At 42.7% G+C, this 26,061-nt stretch overlaps 1 protein-coding gene and 1 long non-coding RNA gene across 12 annotated transcripts; one reads left to right on the plus strand and one right to left on the minus strand.

Moving 5' to 3' along the window:
• Positions 755–19,999, plus strand: ARL9 (ARF like GTPase 9). 9 transcript variants are annotated; one of them, NM_206919.3, is made up of 4 exons: positions 755–1,055; positions 6,731–6,893; positions 14,224–14,399; positions 19,243–19,999. In NM_206919.3, the coding sequence occupies exons 2-4, from the start codon at positions 6,878–6,880 to the stop codon at positions 19,420–19,422; spliced, it is 372 nt and encodes a 123-aa protein (NP_996802.1). In that variant the 5' UTR covers positions 755–1,055; positions 6,731–6,877; the 3' UTR covers positions 19,423–19,999. The 9 variants fall into 9 exon arrangements, with proteins under 9 accessions (NP_996802.1, XP_047305569.1, NP_001388286.1 ...); NM_001401357.1 differs by having other exon boundaries at positions 991–1,239; NM_001401359.1 differs by having other exon boundaries at positions 991–1,239; positions 14,305–14,399.
• On the minus strand, positions 18,892–26,032 carry LOC105377665 (uncharacterized). Of its 3 annotated transcripts, none has more exons than XR_941077.1 (4): positions 25,896–26,032; positions 23,922–23,963; positions 21,388–21,480; positions 18,892–18,931 (listed from the first exon to the last, which is right to left on the minus strand). It is a non-coding gene; the product is annotated as an uncharacterized LOC105377665 (long non-coding RNA). The 3 variants fall into 3 exon arrangements; XR_941076.1 differs by lacking the exon at positions 18,892–18,931 and adding an exon at positions 19,519–19,600; XR_001741700.1 differs by lacking the exons at positions 18,892–18,931; positions 23,922–23,963 and adding an exon at positions 19,519–19,600.
• Positions 26,033–26,061: the final 29 nt, after the last annotated feature.

A 26,061-nucleotide genomic window follows, 5' to 3' on the forward strand; every position in this document is an offset into this window, starting at 1 on the left:
CTCCGTCTCTACTAAAAATACAAAAATTAGCTGGGCATGGTGGCACATGCCTGTAATCCCAGCTACTCGGGAGGCTGAGGCAGGAGAATTGCTTGAACCCGGGAGGTGGAAGTTGTAGTGAGCCGAGATTGTGTCACTGCACTCCAGCCTGGCCGACAGAGCGAGACTGTCTCAAAAAATATATAATTGTGCTAAACTGAAATATACTAAAGAGTTCAGTTTAGCAAGATAAAAGGAACCCTCCAGATATTTCTTAGCCAGTTTGAGAAACAATACCACCTTTGAAAAGCCCTTCGTGTGCCTTATTTACCATTTATTAGATAATTAGAAGTGACTAGACTATTTGGTTTTGGTTTTAATACTGAGCATTACTAGCAGCTGTGATCCTGGCAGGCTATCTCCGAATAATTTTTTTTAAAGTGAAATACAGGCCGGGCACGGCGGCTTATGCCTATAATCCCAGCACTTTGGGAGGCAGAGGCGGGGAGGATCACTTGAGGTCAGGAGTTTGAAACCAGTCTGGCCAACATGGTGAAACCCCGTCGCTACTAAAAATACAAAAATTAGCCGGGCGTGGTGGCCCACGCCTGTAATCCCAGCTACTTGGGAGTCTGAGGCAGGAGAATCGCTTGAATCCGGGAGGCGGAGGTTGCTGTGAGCTGAGATCGCACCACTGCACTCCAGCCTGGGTGACAGAGACTCCGTCTCAAAAACAAAACAGGAACTTAAAACAATGGAACCCATTCACGTTCTTCTATTTGTCTTTAATAATCCTGGGTAATAGTCAACTAATAATCCTGGGTAGTAGTCTGGAGACACTCCTAGCGGAGTTTACTCGGGAGAGGGCGGAGAAATACATGACATGAGCAGTACAGGCTCATGGTTGGGAGCTGAGGGAAGGCTGAGAATCCTCCCGGAACCTCTGGATTCTGACGCCCCAGGGGTTCTTCACACAGGCTGGCCGGTCTCGGGATTGAAGCCGGAGACGTCAGACGCTAAGGTTGCTTAGACTGCGGCCCACGTGGAAGGCTCTTAGCCACCCTGCCTGGCCCGAGGTAATCGCGCTAGGGACGCTTTTTCTGCAGCAATGATATACCCCGCCGAACTGTCCCACGTCCTGGTTGGGACCTCTTGGTTTCGCTTGGCTGGGCTCAATCCATCCGTACGCCTCCGCCCTTCCCTCTTTGCGAACCCCTGCGGGTTCAGCGAATCGGCTGCAAGAAGCCCTGCATCCGCGAGGTAAGCGGCGGTTGGCGGCGGTGCCGGGGTTGGCAGCGCCCGCGGGTTGTCTACGCCGCGGGGCCTACGTCTCTGTCGGGCGTGCACCTCGGGAGCCACACCTGGGGCCCAGAGCCACCGCTCAGCACGCGGGCACGCGGCGGGAGGGAAGGAAACCGCGGCGCTGGGGATGGAGAGGGGGAAAGTGAAGAAGAAAGAGAAGGAAAAGGAGACGCAGGAGGAGAAAATCGGAGAAAAGGGTAGGGAAGAGAAAGTGAAAAGAAAGGAGGTGGAGCAGAAAATTAAACAAAAGCAAGAGAAGCAGGAGAGGAGAAAGGGAAAAGAGAAAGAGGAAAAGAGGACAAAGCAAGGGAAGGAGACAAACAAAGAGAAGGAACAATTTAAGGGACAAGAAGAGAAAGGGGAGAACAAGGACAGCACCTTGACAAGGACCCCGCTCGAGCCGCTGGTAAGAGACCCAGTGCCCAGGACCCCTTGCCCCAAGGCTTTTGTCGGCCGTTCAGACCCCAGCGCTGTCTCTGTTACGTCGGAGGCCCCCGACCGCGTGGGAGCGAATGGATCTCAACTGAGGGCTATTTACCTATGGATGAAAGAGATGCGCCAAACTTTGAACGACCCATCCCCTTTTCCCGGGCCCCCTGCCCACCCTAGCCCTTATCGCTACCCCTGTGTCTTAACCTCAGTCGGGTCTGTTGTTGAGGGACAAGAGATCTCGGTCTTCATGGGGACATGGGGAACGGCCCCTCTACTGCCCTTAGATCTGTCCAGCGCGCAACACTAGCGCACAGACCACCTGACCACATTTAGAAACCAGCCCCGAACCCTCCCCACACGCAGGCCCTCTTTGCATTGAATGCGTTCTTTGTCAGAAGGGGCAGGGTTCCTGAACGCAGGAGGTGTTTGGGGACGCTGCAGTTGTTTTCAGACCACCAGTACCATGAATGGATGGCGGAAAAGTTTTAACTGACAGGTCTTAGAAACTTGGCATTATTTGGGTCAGCTGAATGGTCTCTGTGCTCCTGGAGTTCCTGAGCTGGCTCCTTGGCTTAGAGCTGCGCTCTGGTTCTAAACAATTATGAATGATTAACACAGTTGTGTGTGTGTGTGTGTGTGTGTGTGTGTGTGTGTGTGTGTGTGTGTTCTTTTTTGAGACAGGGTCTTACTCTGCCTCTCAGGCTGGAGGGATCCTCCCACCTCAGCCTGGCACCGCCCCCATCTCCCAACCTCAGTGACTGGCACTACAGGCACACGCCACCATGTCCAGCTAATTTTTGTATTTTTGTGCAGAGCTGGAGTTTCGCCATGTAGCTCAGGCTGATCTCAAACTCCTGGGCTCCAGCAATCCGCCCGCCTCAGCCTCCCAAAGCGCTGGGATTACAGGCGTGAGCCACCACGGATTAACAGAGATTTGATCTCTGGTAAAACACAGACTACATAGACTCATATTTGGCTAAAGGAATAACTTTTGACAAAAACGGTGTTCAGAATCACATTTTGTGTCTGAACTGTTTTACAAATTCAGCTTTCCTTAGGAGAAGGTAAATGTGAGGAAGCCTGAATGCAGAATTTCTAGGTAGGATGGGCGTAGGGACAGCAACGTGGTTGGAAAGGGAACTGATATTTTTGTTTTTGTTTTTTTGAGACAGAGTCTGGCTCTGTCGCCCAGGCTTGAGTACAGTGGCGTGATCTCGGCTCACTGCAACCTCCACCTCCCAGGCTCAAGTCATCCTCCCACCTCAGCCTCCCAAGTAGCTGGGATTACAGGTGCACACCGCCGTGCCTAGCTAATTTCTGTATTTTTGGTAGAGATGGGGTTTCGCCATGTTGCCCAGGCTGGTCTTCAACTCCTGAGCTCAAGCGATCCACCCGCGTTGGCCTCCCAAAGTGCTGGGATTACAGGCATGAGCCACTGTGCCCGGCCTGGGAACTGCTTTTAATTCACACTATTTTATAGGGCCTAAGATGACATTAGTCTAGGTACCACTAAGAAAGAAAAAAAAGCCGGCGCAGTGGCTCACACCTGTAATCCCGGCACTTTGGGAGGCCAAGGTGGGTGGATCACCTGAGGTCAGGAGTTCCAGAACAGCCTAGCCAACATGGCAAAACCCCATCTCTACTAAAAATACAAAAAAAGTAGCTGGGCATGGTGGCATGTGCCTGTAATCCCAGCTACTCGGGAGGCTGAGGCAGGAAAATCGCGTGAACCTGGGAGGCAGAGGTTGTAGTGAGCCAAGATCGTGCCACTGCACTCCACAGAGAGAGATTCTGTATCAAAAAAAAAAAAAAAAAATTCTCCCAATCAAAATGTGACATACTCTCAATTGTCAAAGACATTCTAATTTCAGAGATATTAAAATGTGGAATGTGGGGGGAATATGTATCTTAGAATGAATGAAGTATGTTGGGGTAGGCTGAATAGGGCCTCTGGTGAAGACTGACAGGACACAATCCACTCTTGGCTGCCATTTCTTGGTGCCAGTATTGCTTTAAAACATGCAATTTTAAGCCATCCAATGAAGTCTCCCTTGCCCCTCTTCCTTACCTTGACACACTCTCAGAATGACATCATAACATTTAGATGCAAATGAAGGGAATGGAGAAGAGGCAGGGATGGAAGACATCTATGAAAATACAATTTAGTTTAAGAGCCATCAAAGATTTGCTCCAAGAACAAATACGTACATTTTTTCTTTTTCTTTTTTTTTTGAGACAGAGTTTCACTCATGTTGCCCAGGCTGGAGTGCAATGGCGCGATCTCAGCTCATTGCAACCTCCACCTCCCAGGTTCAAGTGATTGTCCTGCCTTACTTAGCCTCCCCAGTAGCTGGGATTACTGGCATTCGCCACCACGCCCGGCTAATTTTGTATTTTTACTAGAGACCGGATTTCACCATGTTGGTCAGGCTGGTCTCGAACTCCTGACCTCAGGTGATCCGCCCTCCTTGGCCTCCCAAAGTGCTGGGATTACAGGTAAGAGCCACCGCACCGGCCTACTTTTTTTCAAATTCTGTTATTCACTATATGGCCTTCATAAATCATGATCTCTGTACAAGTCTTTATTAGGCCAGACCTCAAAATATCTCATTTTCACATAGATGTTTCTAAAAAGAAAGTGGGACAGACATTCTAATGCTGTTTAAGATCACTTTTTTCTAGAAATCTAGTTTAAGTCTAATGTCAACATTTAGAGTTCAAGCAGAACAAACAGAAATGTATACGATTATTGTTATTTCTAAACCAGCGCCATTGAAGACAATTATTAGAGTTTTTTGTGCATAAGAAACTTCTTTAGTAGGATCTTTGAGAAGTAGAATTGAATTCCTATGAGCAGTCTGGCTATATTGTTGCTTATTTATTATTGTTTATGTTAAAGTTTACACCCTGGAAACCACCTTTCAGAGCACCCTGTACGATCTTCACACCAGCCTGCCCTTCTGTCCCTCAGTCATTTGCCATAAAAATTCTAAGGCTAATACGTTGATAGAATGCTTTTTTCTTTTTCTTTTTCTTTTTTTTGTTTTTTTTTTTTGGGATGGAGTCTGTATCACCCAGGCTGGAGTGCAGTGGTGTCATCTCAGCTCCTGCAACCTCCACCTCCCGGGTTCAAGCAATTCTCATGCCTCAGCCTCCCAAGTAGCTGGGATTACAGGCATATGCCACCATGCCCGGCTGATTTTTATATTTTTGGTAGAGACAGGGTTATGCCGTGATAGCCAGGCTGGTTCCAAACTCTTGGCCTCAAGCGATCCACCAGCGTCAGCCTCCTCAAGTGCTGGGATTACAGATGAGAGCCACGATGCCTGGACTAGAATGCTTCTTTCTAAGTTTACTTCAAGTTCATCAGTTTAGTTTTTTTTTTGAGACGTTGTCTTGCTCTGTTGCCCAGGCTGGAGTGCAATGGCGTGATCTCGGCTCACTGCAACCTCCGCCTCCAAGGTTCAAGCAATTCTCCTGCCTCAGCCTCCCAGATAGCTGGGATTACAGGCACCCACCACTGCACTGGGCTAATTTTTTTTTTTTTTTTTTTTTTTTAAGATGGAGCCTTGCTCTGTCGCCCAGGCTGGAGTGCAGTGGCACGATCTTGGCTCACTGCAACCTCCACCTCCTGGGTTCAAGCAATTCTCCTGCCTCAGCCTCCCGTGTAGCTGGGACTACAGGTGCCTGCCACCACGCCTGGCTAATTTTTTGTATTTTAAGTAGACACAGAGTTCCACCATATTGGCCAGGCTGGTTTCGAACTCCTGACCTCAGGTGATCTGCCTGCCTTGGCCTCCCAAGTTCATCTGTTTTTAAAACAAATACTCATTTGTGATTGAAACTGGCTTAATAATTTCTATAACCTTTTCATTTAATTGTGATACTTATATTAGAATTATAAGAGGGAGGCTGGGTGCGGTGGCTCATGCCTGTAATCCCAGCATTTTGGGAGGCCAAGGTGGGCAGATCACGAGGTCAGGAGTTCGAGACCAGCCTGACCAACATGGTGAAACCTCGTCTGTAGTAAAAATACAAATTGCGGAGCGTGGTGGCATGCTCCTGTAATCTCAGCTACTCGGGAGGCTGAGGCAGGAGAATCGCTTGAACCCAGGAGGCGGAGGTTGCAGTGAGCCGAGATCGTGCCACTGCACTCCAGCCTGGGTGACAGAGCAAGACTCCAACTCAAAAAAAAAAAAAAAAAGTATAAGAGGGAAACCTTGCCCTGAGATCTTACAATCTAGTTATTCAATTATGAAGACAGGAGAAATTAATAATTGAGACCTTAGATGCTTATGCACCGAGTGGCACAGTCAATACATGCACCACGGAGGTCCCAAGACCCCAAACAAAATGAATTCAGGTGCAGTCTCCAATTCATAGACACGAATTCAAGAAGCAAAATGAAGTCTGAGAATTGGTCCTGTAATCTATAGCACTGCTCATAAATGCTGATAGTATAGTATTTATTTGATAGACTGATCAGGAGGTGGGGGATAGAGGACGGATGTGAAATTAGTATCACATAATGAACAGCTCATTAGAAAATATTAACTAGTTGGTACTGTTTGTTCTAGACGTATAAAATATTCGTGAAGTTTTATCCCTTTTTTTTTTTTTTTGGAGACAGGGTCTCACTCTGTTCCCCAGGCTGGAGTTCAGTGTGTGATCTCAGCTCACTGCAACCTCTGCCTCCTGGGTTCAAGTGATTTTTGTGCCTCAGCCTCCCAAGTAGCTGGACTTACAGGTGCACGCCACCACACCTGGCTAATTTTTTGTATTTTTAGTATAGATGGGGTTTCACCATGTTGGCCAGGCTGGTCTGGAACTTCTGACCTCAAGAGATCCTCCTGCCTCGGCCTCCCAAAGTGCTGGGATTACAGGCGTGAGCCACCGCACCTGGCCCGTGGAGTTTTATTCTGGTTACAGTTCCAAGAATATTATTGGATTCTGCCAAGACCCAGAAAAATGAGCCCCTGATAGCATGGGCTTATTGATTTATCTTTTTGTTTCACAGGAGAAAAACAAGCAAATCCTAGTGCTGGGCCTGGATGGAGCAGGAAAAACCAGTGTCCTGCACTCTCTAGCTTCAAACAGAGTCCAGCACAGTGTGGCACCCACCCAAGGTTTCCATGCAGTTTGCATCAACACTGAAGACAGCCAGATGGAGTTCCTGGAGAGTAAGCTCTCTGTTCCTTAGTTATAAGATAGCCACATTTTATTGTCTCTTAAGCCAGATATGATGTTAGCAACATTGAGTCCTTGTGAAAACTAACACTGAATCAAATTTTCCTAGACTTTTAGAATGGATGTGTAGTTTAATACCCAGGTACACTGTGGGGGGAATCACTTTTTGCTTTTTTGATACTCTCCTTTTTACAGTAGTGGTGATAAAGGGGAATTTAGAGGAAGGCTTTAGCACTCACTCCTATAATCTCCTGTAATCATCCTTCTTCCCACACTACTGCAAATGAGCATGCAATCTAAGTGTAAGTACAGTGTGCTTGCTTCTCTGCAAATAAAATTATAGACAAGCTCCAAACCTCTTCTTCTAAATAGATGGCAGTCCACAGGCCCCTACTGGATAGTAATTCTGGAGTCACCACCTCTAAATATTACTGTCTCCTGAAGTTGGGTCAAGTCCTCTTGTCTTCTCTTTACACAGTCATCCATCCTCATGGCATTAAATACCATCTATATGCTAATGGCTCCCAAATTTATCTATCCAGCCCAAACATATCCAAGTCCTCTAAAACCTAACAAGGGAAAAACAAAATGCTTGATTTTTCCAATATCTGTTCTTTTTCCTTTAATCTTCTGGTCAGTAAATGGTTCCATACTCATCAAGTTGCTCTAGCCAGAAACCTGGGAGTCACCCTTGACTCCTCCTTTTGCATTCCCACCTCCAGTACACAAGTAAAACACTATGAATTTTGCTATCTCCAACGCATCTCTCAAATTCATTGGTTATATCCTTTGTACTGCCCCTATGCAAGTCGGAACCTCCATCATCTATTACTTAGATTATTATAGTCACCTTTTTACTTTGGCTTTTATCTGTTTACGAAGAGAAGTATTTTAACACATACTTTTAAGTACATCATTTGCTAATTTAAAACTCTTCTGTGGAGATCTCATCCTTGTAATAAAATCCAGAGTCTTTGTTATGACTCATGAGGCTCTTCATAAACTGCCTCCTCCCTAACCTTACCTCACCCCAGGCTTATTGTACTCCTTTCCTTCTCTCCTTTTAAAAGAGCTTTCTTGGGTGTGCCTTCTGTCAGAAATACTACTACCCCTGCTCTTCCCTTGATGGCTTGCTCCTTAGCCTTCAGGTATTAGCTTACATGGCCCCACAAAATCAATCATTCTTTTTTTTTTTTTTTTTTTGAGACAGAGTCCTGCTCTGTCACCCAGGCTGGAGTGCAGTGGCACGATCTCAGCTCACTGCAACCTCTGCCTCCTGGGTTCAAGCGATTCTCTTGCCTCAGTCTCCTGAGTAGCTGGGATTACAGGCACACACCATCATGCTCAGCTAGTTATTTTGTATTTTTAGTAGAGACGGGGTTTCACCATGTTGGCCAGGCTGGTCTCGAACTCCTGACCTCAGGTGATCCACCCACCTTAGCCTCCCAAAGTACTCAGATTCAGGTGTGAGCCACTGCGCCCAGCCCGTAAAATCATTCTTTCTAAGTATGTTCCCCAATGCTGTTTGCTTTCTCCATAAGGTTTTTAATAACATTCACTATTTATTTTTGTTTTTGATCTGTCCACCCAACTAGATGGTAACTTTTGCTATACTTGTTTTGTTCAACAATGCATACCCAATGTCTGGCAAATAGTACATATTCAACAAAAATGCATTAAGTGCCAACTGTGTTCCCGATTTTTATCATGATCATCAATATCCTGAAAAAGAACAGCAGTTTACGCTTGCAATCTTTGAGATTTAAAATGTGTATCTGCACAGTGGCTATATTAAGCCATCAATTTAGGTAAATTTTCATAATGCCACAGGGCAGAGCTTCTAAGGAGGCTTTTTTTTAGGATGCAGCATCCAGTGGTATTCAGTGATATAAATCTGTATGGGCTGTTATGCTGTTGTGTAACACTTGGAGTATGTTGGGGATTGGTGGGAGGTGAAGTTTCATTGTATAAGCCTATTCGTAGAAATGATATATTCACATATAATTTTGCCTATATCTCTTCATCAACATTCTACAGATCATCTCTAAAAAATTCTTGTAGTTTATGCACTAAAAAGTAGTGGCAAAAATAAATGGAGAGATTTCAGCTGCTATTATAGTTTTTGAAGGGCCTTCCTGTGACAAAACCACAAATCCTGGTTAAAATTTATTTTTTAAAGCATCGAAGAACTTGCAACAAGTTAGACAAATTTTCAAGGCTACCTGCTTTACTCTTCCTGCTCTTTCCCTCCTCCCAAAGAAAGAAAAATAAAACAACTCATGAGTTCAAACTGGAGTGGCAGCCACAGTAGATAAGCAAAGAGAAAAGTGGTGTTATCTAGAGGCACATACCAGTATTTAATCTGCAGTGGGCCTGAGACAAAATAGGAAAGAACTAACTAAGATGCCTGCATGACACGAGGGCCCCTGGAAGAGTGCTAACATGCTCCCAGTCAGTAGCTCCCCCAGTTTCTAATTCTGGAGCAAAGCCCCCCAATATTCTCATAAATTAAGATTAATCAAATATGAGTTCAGGCCAGGCATGGTGGCTCACACCTGTAATCCCAGCACTTTGAGAGGCCGGGGCAGGTGGATTACTTGAGTCCAGGAGTTTGAGAACAACCTGGGCAATATGGCAAAACCCCATCTATACAAAAAATATAAAAAATGAGCTGAGCATGGTGGTGCATGCCTGTAGTCCCAGCTACTCTGGAGGCTGAGGCAGGAGGATTGCTTGCGCCCAGAAGGCAGAAGTTGCAGTGAGCCATGATCACGCCACTGCATTCCAGCCTGGGCAACAAAGTGAAACCGTGTCTCAAAAAAGAAGATGACAAAATCTACTGATCAAAACTAGCATTTAAAGCATTTATAATCTTAAATGATTATAGCTGAAAGGAAAATAGCTGAACACTTATAGGTTAAATATGCAATGTAAATTAGGTAAAAGAACAACAGAATAAAACCAAAGAGGGTAGAGGGGGAGATAATAAAGACACGAAGCCAATGAAATTGATGAAGACACAGTAGCAAAGATCAGCAAAGTCAAAAGTTAGTTCCTTGAATAGATAAACAAAATAGACAAATTTCTGGTGAAATTCATTAAGGAAAATCTGGAAACCACATATAAATAATGTCATGAAGGAAAAAGAGCATATCATTGATTAGGATGACAAGAGTATAATACCTGTATTAACAAATTTGTACCAATAGATATAAAGTCCTGGATAAGTGGCAAAAATCCTCCAAACATGTGTCTTAGGAAAATGGACTCAATAAGAAATAGGAATATTGAATAATTTAAAACTTTTAAAGAAATCAATAGCGAAAAATCATCCTATAATGAAAAACACCAGATCAGTTTGTTTATAGGTGGGCTCTTATCAATCTTAATCTTACATAAATTCTTTCAGAGAATAGGGGAAAAAAAGAAATGCTCTCCAACTCACGGTATGAGGTCACTGTATATCCAAACCAGCAAAGATAGTATAAGAAATGGAAATGTAGAAATCTGAACAAAATTGTAGTAAACTAAATTCAGTTAACATATTAAAGAGATAATGTATCACTAGATGAGTTTCTTCAAGAATGAAAGGTTGGTTTAACATTTGAAAAATAGCCAGGTGTGGTGGCTTATGCCTGTAACTCCAGCACTTTGGGAGGCCAAGGGGGCGGATCACTCACCTAAAGTCAGGAGTTCAAGATCAACCTGGCCCAACATGGTGAAACCCTGTCTCTACTAAAAATACAAAAATTAGCCGGGCATGGTGGCAGGTGCCTGTAATCCCAGCTACTCAGGAGGCTGAAGCAGAAGAATTGCTTCAACCCAGGTGGTGGAGATTGCAGTGGGCTGAGATTGTGCCACTGCACTCCATCCAGTCTGGATGACAAGAGCAAAACTCCATCTCAAAAAAAAAAAAAAAAATTTGAAAAAAATATGTCATTCACCACTTTATCCATCAAAGTAAAAAACATAATCACCTTAATATAAGCAGAAAAAAATCTGCTAAATTCAGTTTCCATTTATGATAAAAATTCTTAATAAGCTAAAAATAAATGGGAATTCCTTAACCTACCAAAACCTCAGAAAACTTTACTCCTAAACAGAAAGTACTAAATGTTAGAAGTACTTTCATTCAACATTATACAGGAGGGTCTAGTCAGTTTGAGAAAAAGAAATAAAAGGCGTAAGAATTAGAGAGGAAGAAATAAAACAGTACTTATTTACAAATGATATAATTGTCTTCAAAGAAAGCCTAAAACACCCTTCAAATTATTAGAAATTATAACAGCTTGGCAAGACAACTGTATATAAAAATATAAAATTAATTGTATTTCTGTTATGCAGCAGCATGTAGCCATTTTCAATAGCAACAAAAGATAGGAATAAATCAAACAAAAAAAGTGTCTATCTATAAAGAGAAAATGTGTAGATGTCATTGAAATCAAAAGACCTAAATAGAGACATAATACAGTTTTCATGAATAGGTAGACATTATATCAAAAGAATTAATTCTCCCCAAATTGACGTTTAGATACAATTCAATTCCAATCAATAGCTCAACAAGATTTTTTAAAAAGAGTTTGACAAGCTGAGGCTAAAATTTACATGGGTGAGCAAAGGGGTAAAGAAAGCCAAGACACTCTTGTAGAAATTAATAAGAAGGATGGACTTGTCCTGTCAAGTATCAAATCTTATTATAAAGATATGAAACTAAAATGCGTGGTGTTGGCACAAGAATAAACAAAACGACCAAAGGAACAGACTAGAGAGTCCACTGGGGAAACTATTCAATAAATGGTGCAGGGACCACATGGAATAAAGATGAAATTAGTTTCCTGCCTCCTATGCATACAAATGTATACATCAATTTCCGATGGATAAAAGCCAAATGTAAAAAGCTTTGTGGAGAAAATATAGACTATCCTTATGACTTCAGGATAGAGAAAGATTTTTTAAACAGGATACAAAAAATAATAACCATAAGAAAGATGGATAAATTTAACTACATTAAAATGGAAAACATCTGTTCATTAAAAAGATGCCACAAAATAGGGGAAGATACATGCAACACATCCAAGCAAATGCCTAGTGTCCAGAATATATAAAGAACTCCTACAAATAAAGACAACATAAAAACATTGGCAAAAGACGTGAATAACATTTCACATAAATTAGAAGTGAACATATGAAAAATACTCCACTTGATCAGTAAGTAGAATTCAAATTAGGCAAAAAAAAAAAAAAAAAAGAAAAAGAAAAAGAAATCTGATAATATCAAGTTTTGAAGAGGATGCAGCTGGGTGCAGTGGCTCACACCTGTAATCCCAGCACTTTGGGAAGCCAAGGTGGGTGGATCACTGGAGTTCAAGGGTTCAAGACCAGCCTGGGTGACATGGCGAAACCCAGCTCTACAGAAAATACAAAATTAGCCAAGCATGGTGGCTCGTGCTTGTAGTCCCAGCTACTGGTGAGGCTGAGAAAGGAGGATCGCTTGAGCCCAGAAGGCAGAGGTTGCAGTGAGTGGAGATTGCACCACTGCCCTCCAGCCTGGATGACAGAGCACAACCTTGTCTCAAGGAAAAAATAAAATAAAAATAAAAAGAGGATGTGGATGTAGAGGAAACTTACTGGCTATTAGCTGTTGGCAGAGTGTGTATTGGTACCAACTTCTTTGGAAAACAATTTGGTGTATTTGGCATTAGTTACATGCTTAGATACAAGGAGAAACTCTTGCTTGTATGGACCTCAGGAGACAAATACAAAAATGTTTAGAGCAGCATTGTTTATTGTAGCAAGAAATGAGGAACAACTCAAACGTCCACTGATGTTTAAACTATGTGTGTTAAAACCATATGAGTTACACAGCACTATTTTAACAAATTAAAAACAGAAAATACTTCAAGGAATGACTAGCCTACCTCTATAGAAAGGAAGCCAAAGGAAAGGCAAAGATCCTTTCTTGTTAGCATTTAAAATACTTTTTGTTAAGTTCTTGAAACAGAGGTCCAAAAAGTTTTTCTGTCAAGAACTACATAGGAACTAATTTATGCTTTGCAGGCCACATGCTCTCTGTTGCAACCACTCAACTCTGTCTTGAGAAAGCAGTCATAGACAATATGTTGTATATATATGTCAGTGTTACTATAAAAGTTTATTTCTGGGCACCAAAATCTAAATTTGATATAATAGTCCTGTGTTAGAAAATGTTATTCTGTCTTTTTTTTTCTCCAAAATTTAGACATGTAAAAGCTATTTTTACCTAGCGAGCTGTACAAAAATAGGCAGTTGGTCAGATTTGAACTGTGGGCCATGGTTTGCCAATACTCCTCCTAGGACAAAAATAAAATCCATTGTATATATGTTATTATCATTAACCAAAAAGTTTATTCCGTGAAGAATCAGCAGGATGAAGTAATCAAAAGGCATTTTTTTTTTCTGAAGCAAATATTCCTGAATACCCACAGGATCATATTAACTCAATGCAATATTAAGAGGAGAAGTTACTTCTGGGATTTTGACAAAGGAAAAAAATTGTGCAAGTGAGACTAGCCAATGAATTCAGTTCATTTAAAAATTATTTTAATGTGTATTTTAGCCTACCATCCTTTCCATTCTTAATTATTTTAGTAGCATACTCCCATTTTCTTTTTCTTTTCTTTTTTTTTAGATAGATGGGGGTCTCACTCTGGAGTGTGGTGGCGCAAACACAGCTCATTGTAGCCCTGTTCACACCACTGCACTTCCTGGGCTCAAGTGATCCTCCCACTTCAACCTCTCTAGTCGGTAGCACCACAGGCATGCACCATAGGCATGCACCATAGGCATGCACCACCACACCGGCTCATTTTTTAGTTTTTATTTTTGTAGAGACAGGGCCTCACCCTGTCGCCCAGGCTGGTCTTGAACTATTGGGCTCAAACAGTCCTCCTGCCTCAGCCTCCCAAAATGTTGGGATTACAGGCGTGAGCAACTGCACCTGGCCTTACTCCCATTTTCTGAGCTATAACTGATAAACATGCAGTGGCTGACATGGCTGCTGTGGACAATGGGATCAGGAGACATCCACTGTAGTATTTAGCATCTCTCTGCTGATCCTTTGTGATACAGTTATGAATGAACCACTTGTGATGGTTCTTCTCACCAACCAGTTTACCGCTAACATGCCTCTGGTCACTCTGAGGACTGGGTACACTCTAACACGGTGATATTTTATCAAAACACCTGTCCTGTGTTCAGAAATCTAGATGTGCCCTCCCTGCTCCCTGGGTGGGTGCTTCTGTGATTTTGTGTGTGTGTGTCTTCTTCCTCTACTATTCTCTGTAGTTGGTGGCAGTAAACCTTTTCGGTCCTACTGGGAAATGTACCTATCCAAGGGATTGCTGCTGATCTTTGTGGTGGATTCAGCAGATCACAGCCGATTACCTGAAGCCAAGAAATACCTTCATCAGCTAATTGCAGCAAACCCAGTACTTCCTCTGGTTGTGTTTGCAAACAAACAGGTAAAAATCTGTGCAAATATAAATTGTACTCAAGAGTTTTGTAATACAAGAAATGTATACTTTTAATACCTAGATAGTCAACAATATGCTATATATTTAACTCAGTTTATGTTTATTAGAGCTCTTGGATTATAAACACCTTGAGGGTAGAGACTGTTGTTCATTTTTGTGTCCCTTGTAATACCTAGTATACTGTCTTGTGCATGCTAGGAATTCAACAGATGTGTGTTGAACTTAGTTCAATAAATACATATTGTTAAATTTGATTCAACAAAATATTTGAGTGGCTACCATGTATAAAAAAATCATTTTGCTTTAGACCTATCAGACTGACCTGAACTTATTCTACACATGCATTAAAAATATTAAATATATGTGGAGAATTTGGAACCCTTGTGCACTGTTGGTGAGAATGTAAAATGGTAGAGCTGCTATAGAAAACTGTAACATGGTTCCGCAAAAGAATCAAAAATAGAGGCTGGGCACGGTGGCTCACGCCTGTAATCCCAGCACTTTGGGAGGGCAGGGGTGGGGGATCACGAGGTCAGGAGATTTAGACCATCCTGGCTAACATGGTGAAACCCTGTCTCTACTAAAATACAAAAGATTAGCCGGGCTTAGTGGTGGTCACCTGTAGTCCCAGCTACTCGGGAGGCTGAGGCAGGAGAATGGCGTGAACCTGGGAGGCGGAGATTGCAGCGAACCAAGATCGCGCCACTGCACTCCAGCCTGGGCGACAGGCTCAAAAAAAAAATCAAAATAGAATTCCCTTATGATGCAGCAATTCCACTTCTGGGTATACAGTGAAAAGAATTAAAAGCAGGGACTCAAATTGATGTTCATATGTTTGGCTGTTTTATGTTTCTTTATGTTTTATATTGTTTTGTTTTGTATGTTTTATGTTTTTTATGATATGTTCATAGCAGCATTACTCATAACAGCCAAAAATGGAAGCTACCCAAGATAAATGGATATATAAAATACGGTATGCACATGCAAAGGGATTTTTTTTTTTTAAGGCAGAGTTCTGCTCTAGCACCCAGGCTGGAGTGCAGTGGTGTGATCTCAGCTCATTACCTCCTGGGTTCAAGTGAGTCGCATGCCTCAGCCTCCCAAGTGGCTAGGATTACAGGCATGCGCCACCACTCCTGACTTTTTTTTTTTTTTGAGACAGAGTCTTGCTCTGTCTCACAGGCTGGAGTGCAATGGCGCAATTTCGGCTAACCACAACCTCCGCCTCCCAGGTTCAAGTGATTCTCATGCCTCAACCTCCTGAGTAGCTGGGACTACAGGCACATGCCACCACACCCAGCTAATTTTTGTATTTTTAGTAGAGACAGAGTTTCTCCATGTTGGCCACGCTGATCTCGAACTTTTGGCCTCAAGTGATCCACCCACCTGGGCCTCCCAAAGTTCTGGGATTACAGGTGTGAACCACCGCACCTGGCTACAATGGGATCTTGTTCAGCCTTAAAAGGGAAGGAAATTCAGACACATGTTCTGACATGGATGAACCTTGAGAACATTATGCTAAGTGAATAAGCCAGTCACAAAAGGGCAAATACTATATGATTCCATTTATACGAGGTACCTAGAGTTGTCAGATTCATAGAAATAGAAAGTGGAGTGGTGATTTCCATGGGTTGTGGGAGGGAGGAATGTGTAGTTATCGTTTAATGGATACAGAGTTTCAGTTTTGTAGAAAAAAAGTTTTGGAGATGGATGGTGGTGATAGTTGTATAACAATGTAAATATACTTAATGCCACTGAACTGTACACTTAAAAATGGTTAAGGAGAAAAATTTTGTTACATGTATTTAACACAATAAAAATTGAAAAAAATTTAAACATCTATAATATTGTAATGCTGAAGTCCCTTTCTCAATTGTTAGGTTTGCCAATCATAGAAGAGCTCAATTCCTGACTTTTCTCCTACCACTTCTATGGGTGAACGTATATGGAAGTAAACTAAGTAATTATAAATGATGACCTAAAATAGGAGCCTATGTTAAAGTCCAGTACAGAAGCTAGTCCGGCAGATTTTGACATTTTGCTGGCATTTTAAAAGAGAGGTTGGGCCGGGCGTGGTGGCTCATGCCTGTAATCCCAGCACTTTGGGAGGCCGAGGTGGTTGGATCAGGAGGTCAGGAGTTCGAGACCAGCCTGGCCAACATGGTGAAACCCTGTCTCTACTAAAAAATACAAAAATTAGCCAGGCGTGGTGGTGCATGACTGTAGTCCCAGCTGTTCAGGAGGCTGAGGCAGGAGAATCACTTGAACCCGGGAGGTGGAGGTTGCAGTGAGCCGAGGTCGTGCCACTGCACTCCAGCCTGGGTGACAGAGTGACACTCCGCCCCAAAAAACAAAAAAAAAAAAAAAAGAGAGAGGCTGATGCTTTTATTGTTTTAAGTGGAGCATCTTAAGTACCATAAACTACAAAGATTTAGAAGATCATGGTACATGTAAGTGAGCTGTATAGTATTCCATAGCATTAATATACCAAAATGTTATCATTTTCTTACTGCCAGGAATTTTGAGTTATTTCCAATTTTTTATTGTTCTTAACAGTGCTGCCAGTGAGCCTTCATGTATGTGTCCCTTTGTGGATGTCTATGAACATTTTGCTGGTGGATATACCTAAAATAATTGCTGGGATTTTGGATTTGTACATATTCTGTTTTATTAGGTATCACCAAGTTACTTTCCAAAGATGTTGCACAAATTTATTCTTCCACCAGCAGAATATGACAGTTTTTGCAGCTCTACATCCTTGTCAATACTTGGTATTATCAGACTTTTTCATTTTTGCCAATCTGATGGGTGAACTTGTTTTTTATTATTCTAATGTGCATTTCCTTAACTACTTGTGAGTTTGAACATTTTTTCAGATGTTTATTAGTCTCCACATCTGTAAATTGCCTATTAATATGTTTTCCCAAATTCCTACTAGGGTGTTTATCTTTCTTATTTCAGTTGTAGGAGTCTTTCATATCATTTGGAAAAAATAATTCTTTGTTAGTTATGTGCATTACAATTATCTTTTCCAGCATCTGGTGGCTTATCATTTTACTTTGCTTACTTTTATACAAAAGATTTTCTTCCCTTCCCTCCCCTCCACTCCTCTCTTTTCTTTTCTTTTCTTTTTTTTTTTTGACAGAGTCTCACTCCATCACCCAAGCTGGAGTACAGTGGTGTGATCTCGGCTCACTGCAAGCTCCACCTCCCAGGCTTAAGCACATCAGGAAAAGCCCCACAGGCTCCAAGTGATAGAATTTGATAGGTTCGGGACATGCACAGTGGCCCATGCCTATAATCCCAGCACTTTGGAAGGCCAAGGCGGGCGGAACACCTGAGGTCAGGAGTTCGAGACCAGCCTGGCCAACATGGTGAAAACCCGTCTCTACTAAAAATAGAAAAATTAGCTGGGTGTGGTGGCGCACACCTGTAATCCCAGCTACTTGGGAGGCTGAGGCAGGGGAATCGCTTGAACCTGGGAGGCGGAGGTTGCAGTGAGCCGAGATTGCACCACTGCACTCCAGTCTGGGTGACAGGGTGAGATTCCGTCTCAAAAAAAAATAGGTTCATATGATACAGGAAAAAAAAAAGACACAATATTAGGTTATTTCCAGAGATTTAAAAATGATGATCTTCTAAAACTTAGGGGGAATGCTATGAAATAACAAAAAGCCAATTACAAATGCAATTTTAGAAGTGAAAAAACTTTTACAAAGGACTGGAAAACTATAGCTGAATCTGTGTTATTTATGAAAGGGAATGTCACAGGTCATTTGCTTAAATAATTCTTGGTGTATGAGAGTTAAAGATGTATGTTTTGACCTTGCCATTTCCATCGTAAGGAGGTTTTGGCCCTGGCATGCGGCCTAAGCACAGGCTTCCTGTCTTCCCCCTCTGCCTCTTCCTGTGGGTTTCCCTCTTCCAAGCCTCCCCCATCTCTTTCCCTGTCTCTCCTCTGAACCTCCTTTTCCCACTGCACGTTGTCTGAATCTGTTCCCTCTCCATTCTCTTCTCTGTCTTCCTCTACTCCCCAAAATTGGTTGAGGATTTTTTTGTTCAGTAGAAATAATGAGCACAAAAGAAAACTCACAGTGGCAAGAACTATAATTGGTAAAGTATCATATAGACCTAAAACAATAGATGAATCAAATTTCTGTTATTAAATATAAATAAAAATAATTGCTCCTGTTGAAATAATCTTAGAAGACTAAAAGGAAAATGGAAAAACAAAATTAGTCTGGGTGCAGTGGCTCATGCCTGTAATCCCAGCAGTTAGGGAGGCCTAGGTGGAAGGATTGCTTGAGGCCAGGAGTTTGACACCAGCCTGAGCAACATAGCAAGATGCTCCTCTTTACAAAAGATTTTTAAAAATGAGTGGGGCGTGGTGGCACACACCTGTAGTCCCAGCTACTCAGGAGGGTGAGGCAGGAGAATTGCTTGAACGTGGGAGGCGGAGGTTGCGGTGAGTCAAGATTGCGCCACTGCACTCCAGCCTGGGCGACAAAGCAAGATCCTGTCTTTAAACAAACAACAAACAAACAAAATTAGAAACAGATTGACTGCACCGTTTAGAAAATTAAGGTATTATATTGGCTTAGCTTCATTCCAGAATATACTTTTTTTTGGATAACTCATAAATGCTGGCATAATTCTGATGAAAACCTTTTTATTCAAACAACCTCTGGGCTCATAATAATGGAGTCACAATAGCCTCTATATGAAAATGGTGTGGTCACTGAGAGCAATAAATAAGAGTAATAAATGTGTTTATCTGAAAGGATTGCAAAATAACCAACTTTGTCCTATTCTTATTCCACTCCGGATGAAGGATCTTGAAGCAGCCTATCACATTACAGATATCCATGAAGCTTTGGCATTATCTGAAGTGGGAAATGACAGGAAGATGTTCTTGTTTGGAACCTACCTGACTAAGAATGGCTCAGAGATACCCTCCACCATGCAAGATGCCAAAGACTTGATTGCACAGCTGGCTGCAGATGTGCAGTGACCAGGACTCAGCCCACTGTGCGGCTCACGACTGAGATGTCATCAGTGTTGAATGGCAGGCTTGAAGCCAAAGGTTTCCACCTCAAATAAAAATTAAGCCATTTCCTATTTTCTCAGTGCATGGGATGTATATAGTTAGCCCTCCATATCCATGGGTTCCACATCTGGGGATTCAAGAACTGTGGATCCAAAACATTCAAAAAGTAAACCCACTGAAGAATAATAACACAACAATAAAAATAATACACATTTTAAAATACAATATAACAACTATTTACATAGCATTTTCATTGTATTAGGTATTATAAGTAATCTAAAGATGATTTAAAATACACGAGTAGAAGTGTGTAGGTTATATGTAAATATGCCATTTTCCATCAGGAGCTTGAGCATCCACATTTGCCTGTGAGGATCTTGGAATCAGTCTCCCTGAGAATACCAACGGACAACTGTACAAAGATAATGCTAACATAATAACAGCATCTCTATTTGGATTTTGAATGTTAAAAATATTTGTAAAACAGTGTATTGGGGGTATTGGGATTTTTAATCAACAAAGGTAAAATGAACATTAGCAAGCATTTGTCCCATTTATTGTTTTGCAATGGCATGAAATTTATATGAAATTTTTTTGTGGGGGTGGATAGGGTCTCACTCTGTTGCCCAGGCTGGAGTGCAGTGGCATGATCTCAGCTCAGGTGATCCTCCCTCCTCAGTCTCCCAAGTAGCTGGGACCAGAGGTGCACGCCACCATGCCCGGCTAATTTTTCTATTTTTAGCAGAGATGGGGTTTTGCCATGTGGCTCAGGCTGGTCTCGAATTCCTGAGCTCAAGCGATCTGCCCACCTCGGTCTCATAAAGTCCTGGGATTACAGGAATGAGCCACTGCACCTGGCCTTGAATATATTTTAGTATGTTTTCTCTTTTCAAGTAAAAAACTGGGTGTCTTTCCATTAAGTGGATCTGTTTAACACTATAAGAAATATCAGGGTAGGACAATGAGGACAGTGAACTTTGTCAAACCCCCAGAGAAATAAACATTAACAGTATTCAGAAAGAGTTAGGAAGGGCTTCTTTTCCAGGAGCTTGTTAGACGAGATGAGGAACATTGTGGGGATTTGTTTTTAAAATTCTTAACATTTTGCTTTTATATAGATAAACTTTCTTCACTAGAAAGAGTGATAACTATATTTATTTGCAGACACTCTGTAAATCCAACTTGTAACTATAGTGCCTTGCTTTGGTTTTAAGAAAAATTGTAAAGAGAGTTTGCTCTATAAATCCTTCCTTTTAAAATTTGGAATCTGTGGTGAAATAATACAAATATGGGGTCAGGCGTGGTGGCTCACACCTGTAATCCCAGAACTTTGGGAGGCCGAGGCGGGCGGATCATGAGGTCAGGAGTTCAAAAGCAGCCTGGCCAACATGGTGAAAACCTGTCTCTACTAAAAATACAAAAAATTAGCCAGGGGTGGTGGTAGGCACCTGTAATCCCAGCTACTCGGGAGGCTGAGGCAGGAGAATCGCTTGAACCCAGGAGGCAGAGGTTGCAGTGAGCCAAGACCGCACCACTGTACTCCAGCCTGGGCAACAGAGCAAGACTCCATCTCAAGAAAAATAAACAAAATAAAATAAAATAAAATTTGGAATCTGTGGTGAAATAATACAAATATGGGGTCAGACGTGGTGGCTCACACCTGTAATTCCAACACTTTGGGAGTCTGAGGCAGGAGGATCATTTGAACCTATGAGTTTGAGACCAGCCTGGGAAACATAGTGAGACCCTGTCTCAAAAAAAAAAAAAAAAATCCAAATTTGGTGAAGATAACCCCTCTCAATATTAGCACATAACTGTCTCTAGTTTTAGGTTAAAATAGAACACAATTGAATTTATGCATGCATGTGCAAAATGATGATTGCCCTCTGCGAGATGAGACATTGGAGAGTGAGCCTTTAAAATCATTACCTTTCTCATATCAGCACCACGCCATCATGTTTAATGGTATCTTATCACAGCAGCCACTCAGGTGTCTAATGTTAAACCTTCTTCTTGTCTGGCCTATGGAGGGTGGATCACACAATGATTCGGAATTGTCAGAAATGTTGGATTTTAACCTCTGCCCCAAGGATTACCGCGAATGGACCCCTGGATGAATTCCTTGACTGTCTTGGTCTTGTCCTTGTAAAAAGATCAAGTGAGATGCAGACCACTTCCAGCCCTAAACTCTGATTCTATGTGCTTGTCCCTTCCCTAGGTTTTCTAAGGTGATCAGGGACATAGAGAAGTTTCTGGATGCTTATTTCAAAGATAAGGCCAAAAGCTTTCAGGATGGGGAACAATATCTCTGTTCTTCCCTGTTTGGTCTTTTTAATCTCAGATTCTGATTTTAGATTCTGCATTTTGGCAACAAGTGTTGTGGCTGGAGTTTTTCCTTCAGTGGACAGTTATGGAGTGCCAACATGGCAGTCATTGCTTGACACCAGGGTGAACAAAGCAGGGATTCTGTACTTGAGATGCTCTCAGGCTAACGATGAGGGTTTGTGTCATGGGGGTTTCTAACAGAAATGGCACTAGACAACAAGACAGATTGGCGTATTGTCAGAGAGGCTGCCTGGCTGGTAGCCTGCCCAATGGGCCTAATGGGGTGGCATACGACCTTGGAGACTTTACCACAATCTCGTGTCTGTTGCCAGCCTTCCGGGCTTACAAGCATTCCAGGTTTGAGAAGCTGAGTCATGTTAGAAAGTAGGTTTAGTTAGCACACCAAGAGTGGATCTGCCTTTTCATTCAGTAAACATTTTGGGAGCACCATGTGCCAGAAAATGTGCCAGAACTCTTTCAGCTAAAAATAAATTCAGTTAAAAGGAAATTCAGGCTGGATGCAGTGGATCACGCCTGTAATCCCAGCACTTTGGGAGACCAAGGTAGGTGGATCACTTGAGCCAAGGAGTTTGAGACCAGCCTGGGCAACTTGGTGATACCCCATCTCTTCAAAAAATACACACCAGAAACAAACAAACAACAAACTAGCCAGATGTGATAGTGCATACCTGTAGTCCCAGCTACTTGGGAGGCTAAGATGGGAGGATCACTTGTGCCTGGGGAAGTCAAGGCTGCAGTGAGCAGTGATTGCACCACTGCACTTCAGCTTGGGCAATGGAATGAGACCTTGTTCAAAAAGGCTGGGCACAGTGGCTCAGGCCTGTAATCCCAGCACTTTGGGAGGCAGAAGCAGGAGGACTGCTGGAGGCCAGGAGTTAGAGAGCAACCTAGGCAACATAGAAAGACCCTGTCTCTACAAAAATTTTTTTAACGGAAATTCAACTCAAATTTGTGTGTACCCCCACAAAAAAAGAATTTTTTTTTCTTCATCATCCTGGAAAATCTGGGCATGGGTGGATTCAGGAGTTCAGAAGTTCAAAGATAAGACTGTCTCTCCATGTCCTGGCCCTGCCAACCTCTGCTTGGTTTGATTCTCAGATTCCCTCCTCAGAGCAGCAAGATGACTGCTGTCAACACAAGCCATTCTTATAGCTCATGATCTCAGAGTAAGATGGACCTTCCTTTTCTGAGCAGACATCCATTAAATCTCACGGAGGGATACCAATTGGCTCTTCTGGGGTTGCATATTCATCCTTGAACCAATTACTGTGGCTGGATTGGTCAGACCTGGGTTAGAAGGAAGGATCAGCCCCTTAAACTATACTGAATGAGTTCCCTGCAGAAAGGAGGGGTTCTGCCTTCAGAAGAAGAGGGAAGGGATTCTAGGCAGGAAAACGAAATAATGACAGCTATTCACAGTCATTCACTGTGCTTGGCACAGGGAATATACCAGTAACCAGGACAGAGAATTTCACTGTCTTTAAGGAGCTTACATTCTAGCTGGGGAAATACACAAAAATAAACAAGCAGATGAAATAATTACAAATTATGTTGAAGCAAGGAAATGAAATAGAAAATAATGGTGGGAACATTTTTAAAATTAATATGGGCTGGAAAGACCTCTTTGAGTGGGTAATATTTAAGCTGAGCCCCAGAGGCTAGAAAAGAGCCAGTATGTAAACAGTGGGAAGAAATGGGCTCCACGCAGTGGGAACAGGTGTGAGAAGAGACTGAAATGGGAAAGAGCTTGACACTTTAGAGAAGAGTAGGGAGGCCAGAATGTAGACAGCAAGGGTGGAGTGGCTCAAAGTAGACTAGAGAGGGAAAAAATAACCAGAGTATGGAACACCTTATAATGCAAAGCTTGAGGATTTAAAAAAATGGTTTGGAGTGTTATGATTGGAGGTGATCAAAGGTAAAAGTCAGAAGTTCCACCAGTTCGGAGGCCACTGTAGAATCCAGAGAGATGATGATGGGCCTGGGTGGCCTGCCATGACCTTATCATGATGTCATTATGGTGGGAGTGGGTTGTTATAAAATGAGTCCAGCCCTGGTGCCTCTCTTTCATGTTCAGCCCTCCCACCATGTTATGCTATGCTGCATCAAGAAAGACTCACCAGATGCCACAGCCATGCACTTGGATGCCCCAGCCTCCAGAGCTATGAGAAATAAATTCTTTATAAATTACCCAGTCTCAGGTATTCTATTATAGCAACATAAAATGAACTAAGACAGACTTGGAAAAGAATTCATTCTATGTGATCATTATAATCTTTCCCAATAAGCAGACTCCTTGAGAAGCAAGTCATGTCAGAAAGCTGCCTGTGCCCAGTGCAGTGGCTCATGCCTGTAACCCCAGCACTTTGGGAGGCCAAAGTGGGTGGATCGCTTGAGCTCAGGAGTTTGAGACCATCCTGGGCAACATGGCAAAACCCTGTCTCTACAAAAAAATACCAAAAATTAGCCAGGCGTGGTGGCATGCGCCTGTAGTCCCAGCCACTCAAGAGGCTGAGGTGGGAGAATGGTGTGAGTTCAAGAGGCAGAAGTTGCAGTGAGTCAAGATTGCTCCACTGCACTCCAGCCTGGACGACAGAGCCAGACCCTGTCCCAAATAAAAAAGAAGGAAAGAAAGCTAAACATGAATATTTTGATATACAGTGGCACCACATTCATAGCAAGTGGGCCTAAAAGATAGGCTGTAACAATTGCAGTCTATTGGCTTAGATCCCCTCCTTTCTGCAGTTTTTGAGAAGGCACAGCCTCTATGATGCTCATTCTGTACATTCACAGTGGCCTGAATCCCCCTCTTTCAATTGACATGTTCTTTGGACTTTCGAAGACATTTCATGTAACCAGGGACTACTTTTACTGATTTAAGGGCCATCCTGCCTCTTTAAGGTGGATTTACATAACTCCTCCCTGATTGGTTTAAAGGTTGAGTTAAAACTCTCTGAGAGTAGCTTTATTTCTCCTTCCAAGTTTTGGGGGATATTTCCTGAACTTCCATACAATATTACACACATCTCTATCAAAGTAAGGTTGAAGGAGATTCCGATTCATATACGCACATGCTAGAATGAATCTTCTAGTTCCATTCCAGATAACATTCACAATCCAAAATATTTCTCTTCTAACTTTTCTTAGCATCTATGAGACTAAGTACATACAAGGAATACCCAGTAACGAGCAAAAGGGGTACTTGGGTTTACTAAATATTTTAACAGACAACTTATTCCTCAACACCTCTAGTCCCTTCCCTTGAAAATAAACACATCAGTAAAACTCCACCACTTCTATTCCCCTCTATCACACTGTCACCACCATGAAAATTAGCTGAAAGCACTCCTCAAGGATTGAGAGACGGCCAGGCCACCTATGTTTTTAAAGTCTCTTGGTATAATAAGTGATAAAAAAGAGAGGATGCCAAAAACAGGGTTACAAGAAGTGTGGTATATTTAAAAGATACCACAGTTAACAAATTAATGGACGCACCCACAGAACACAGCACACAGTTGTACTGTTCACAAGATAATTACAGCCCTTTATAAAAAGTAGCTGATAGCATGCTTCAGTAGATAGTGAGCCCTGTAATGAGACACAAGTTGTAGATGAATATATTTTTCTTTTAATCCAGTCAGTGTTTCTTTGTGACTGTGTATAGAACTTCATGTGGAGATAAAGTAAAACATTCAAGTTTGAGACTCTTCTTGAATGTAAGCTTATGTCAAATGTCGCACTGGTGGATCCACCTCCCCCACACCCCCCGCCCCCCGCCCCCGCTCCATTCTGATGGTCGTGCATTTAACTAGAAATTGATGGAAATCAGTGTTAGTAACTGAGGGCCTTAGAATATTATCAGTCTCGGCATCCTCTCCCAGCATGATTAGGGGACAAAAGCCCGTATAGAGATTGTGTCCAGGAACCTCTGGGCACAAGCTCTTTACAGATTGCCTCTGGGGTCTGAGGGGCGCCCTAACTAGATTAGAAACTGACATGTTCTACCCCAGGGCCTCCGCGAACGACAGCAGGCGAGAATCCTTGCTCTGGACACGGGGAACAGGGTCAGCATCTCGTCTCCTATCTCCACCGACCTGTCTCTGGCTTTTCTTAGTCCCCAGATGCGCCCAGAAGGTCCTGGAGAGTGGTGCGTCCCCTTGGCAACCGTACAACGCGCAGGAAGGCGGAGTGAGATGAGGCTGAGTCCGGCCGGGGCGGGGCTGTGTGGGACTAGGGCGGGGCTCGGGGGCTAGACCGGGG

The sequence above is a fragment of the Homo sapiens genome, chromosome 4 (genome assembly GCF_000001405.40).
Source record: "Homo sapiens chromosome 4, GRCh38.p14 Primary Assembly".
Lineage (NCBI taxonomy): Eukaryota > Metazoa > Chordata > Mammalia > Primates > Hominidae > Homo > Homo sapiens.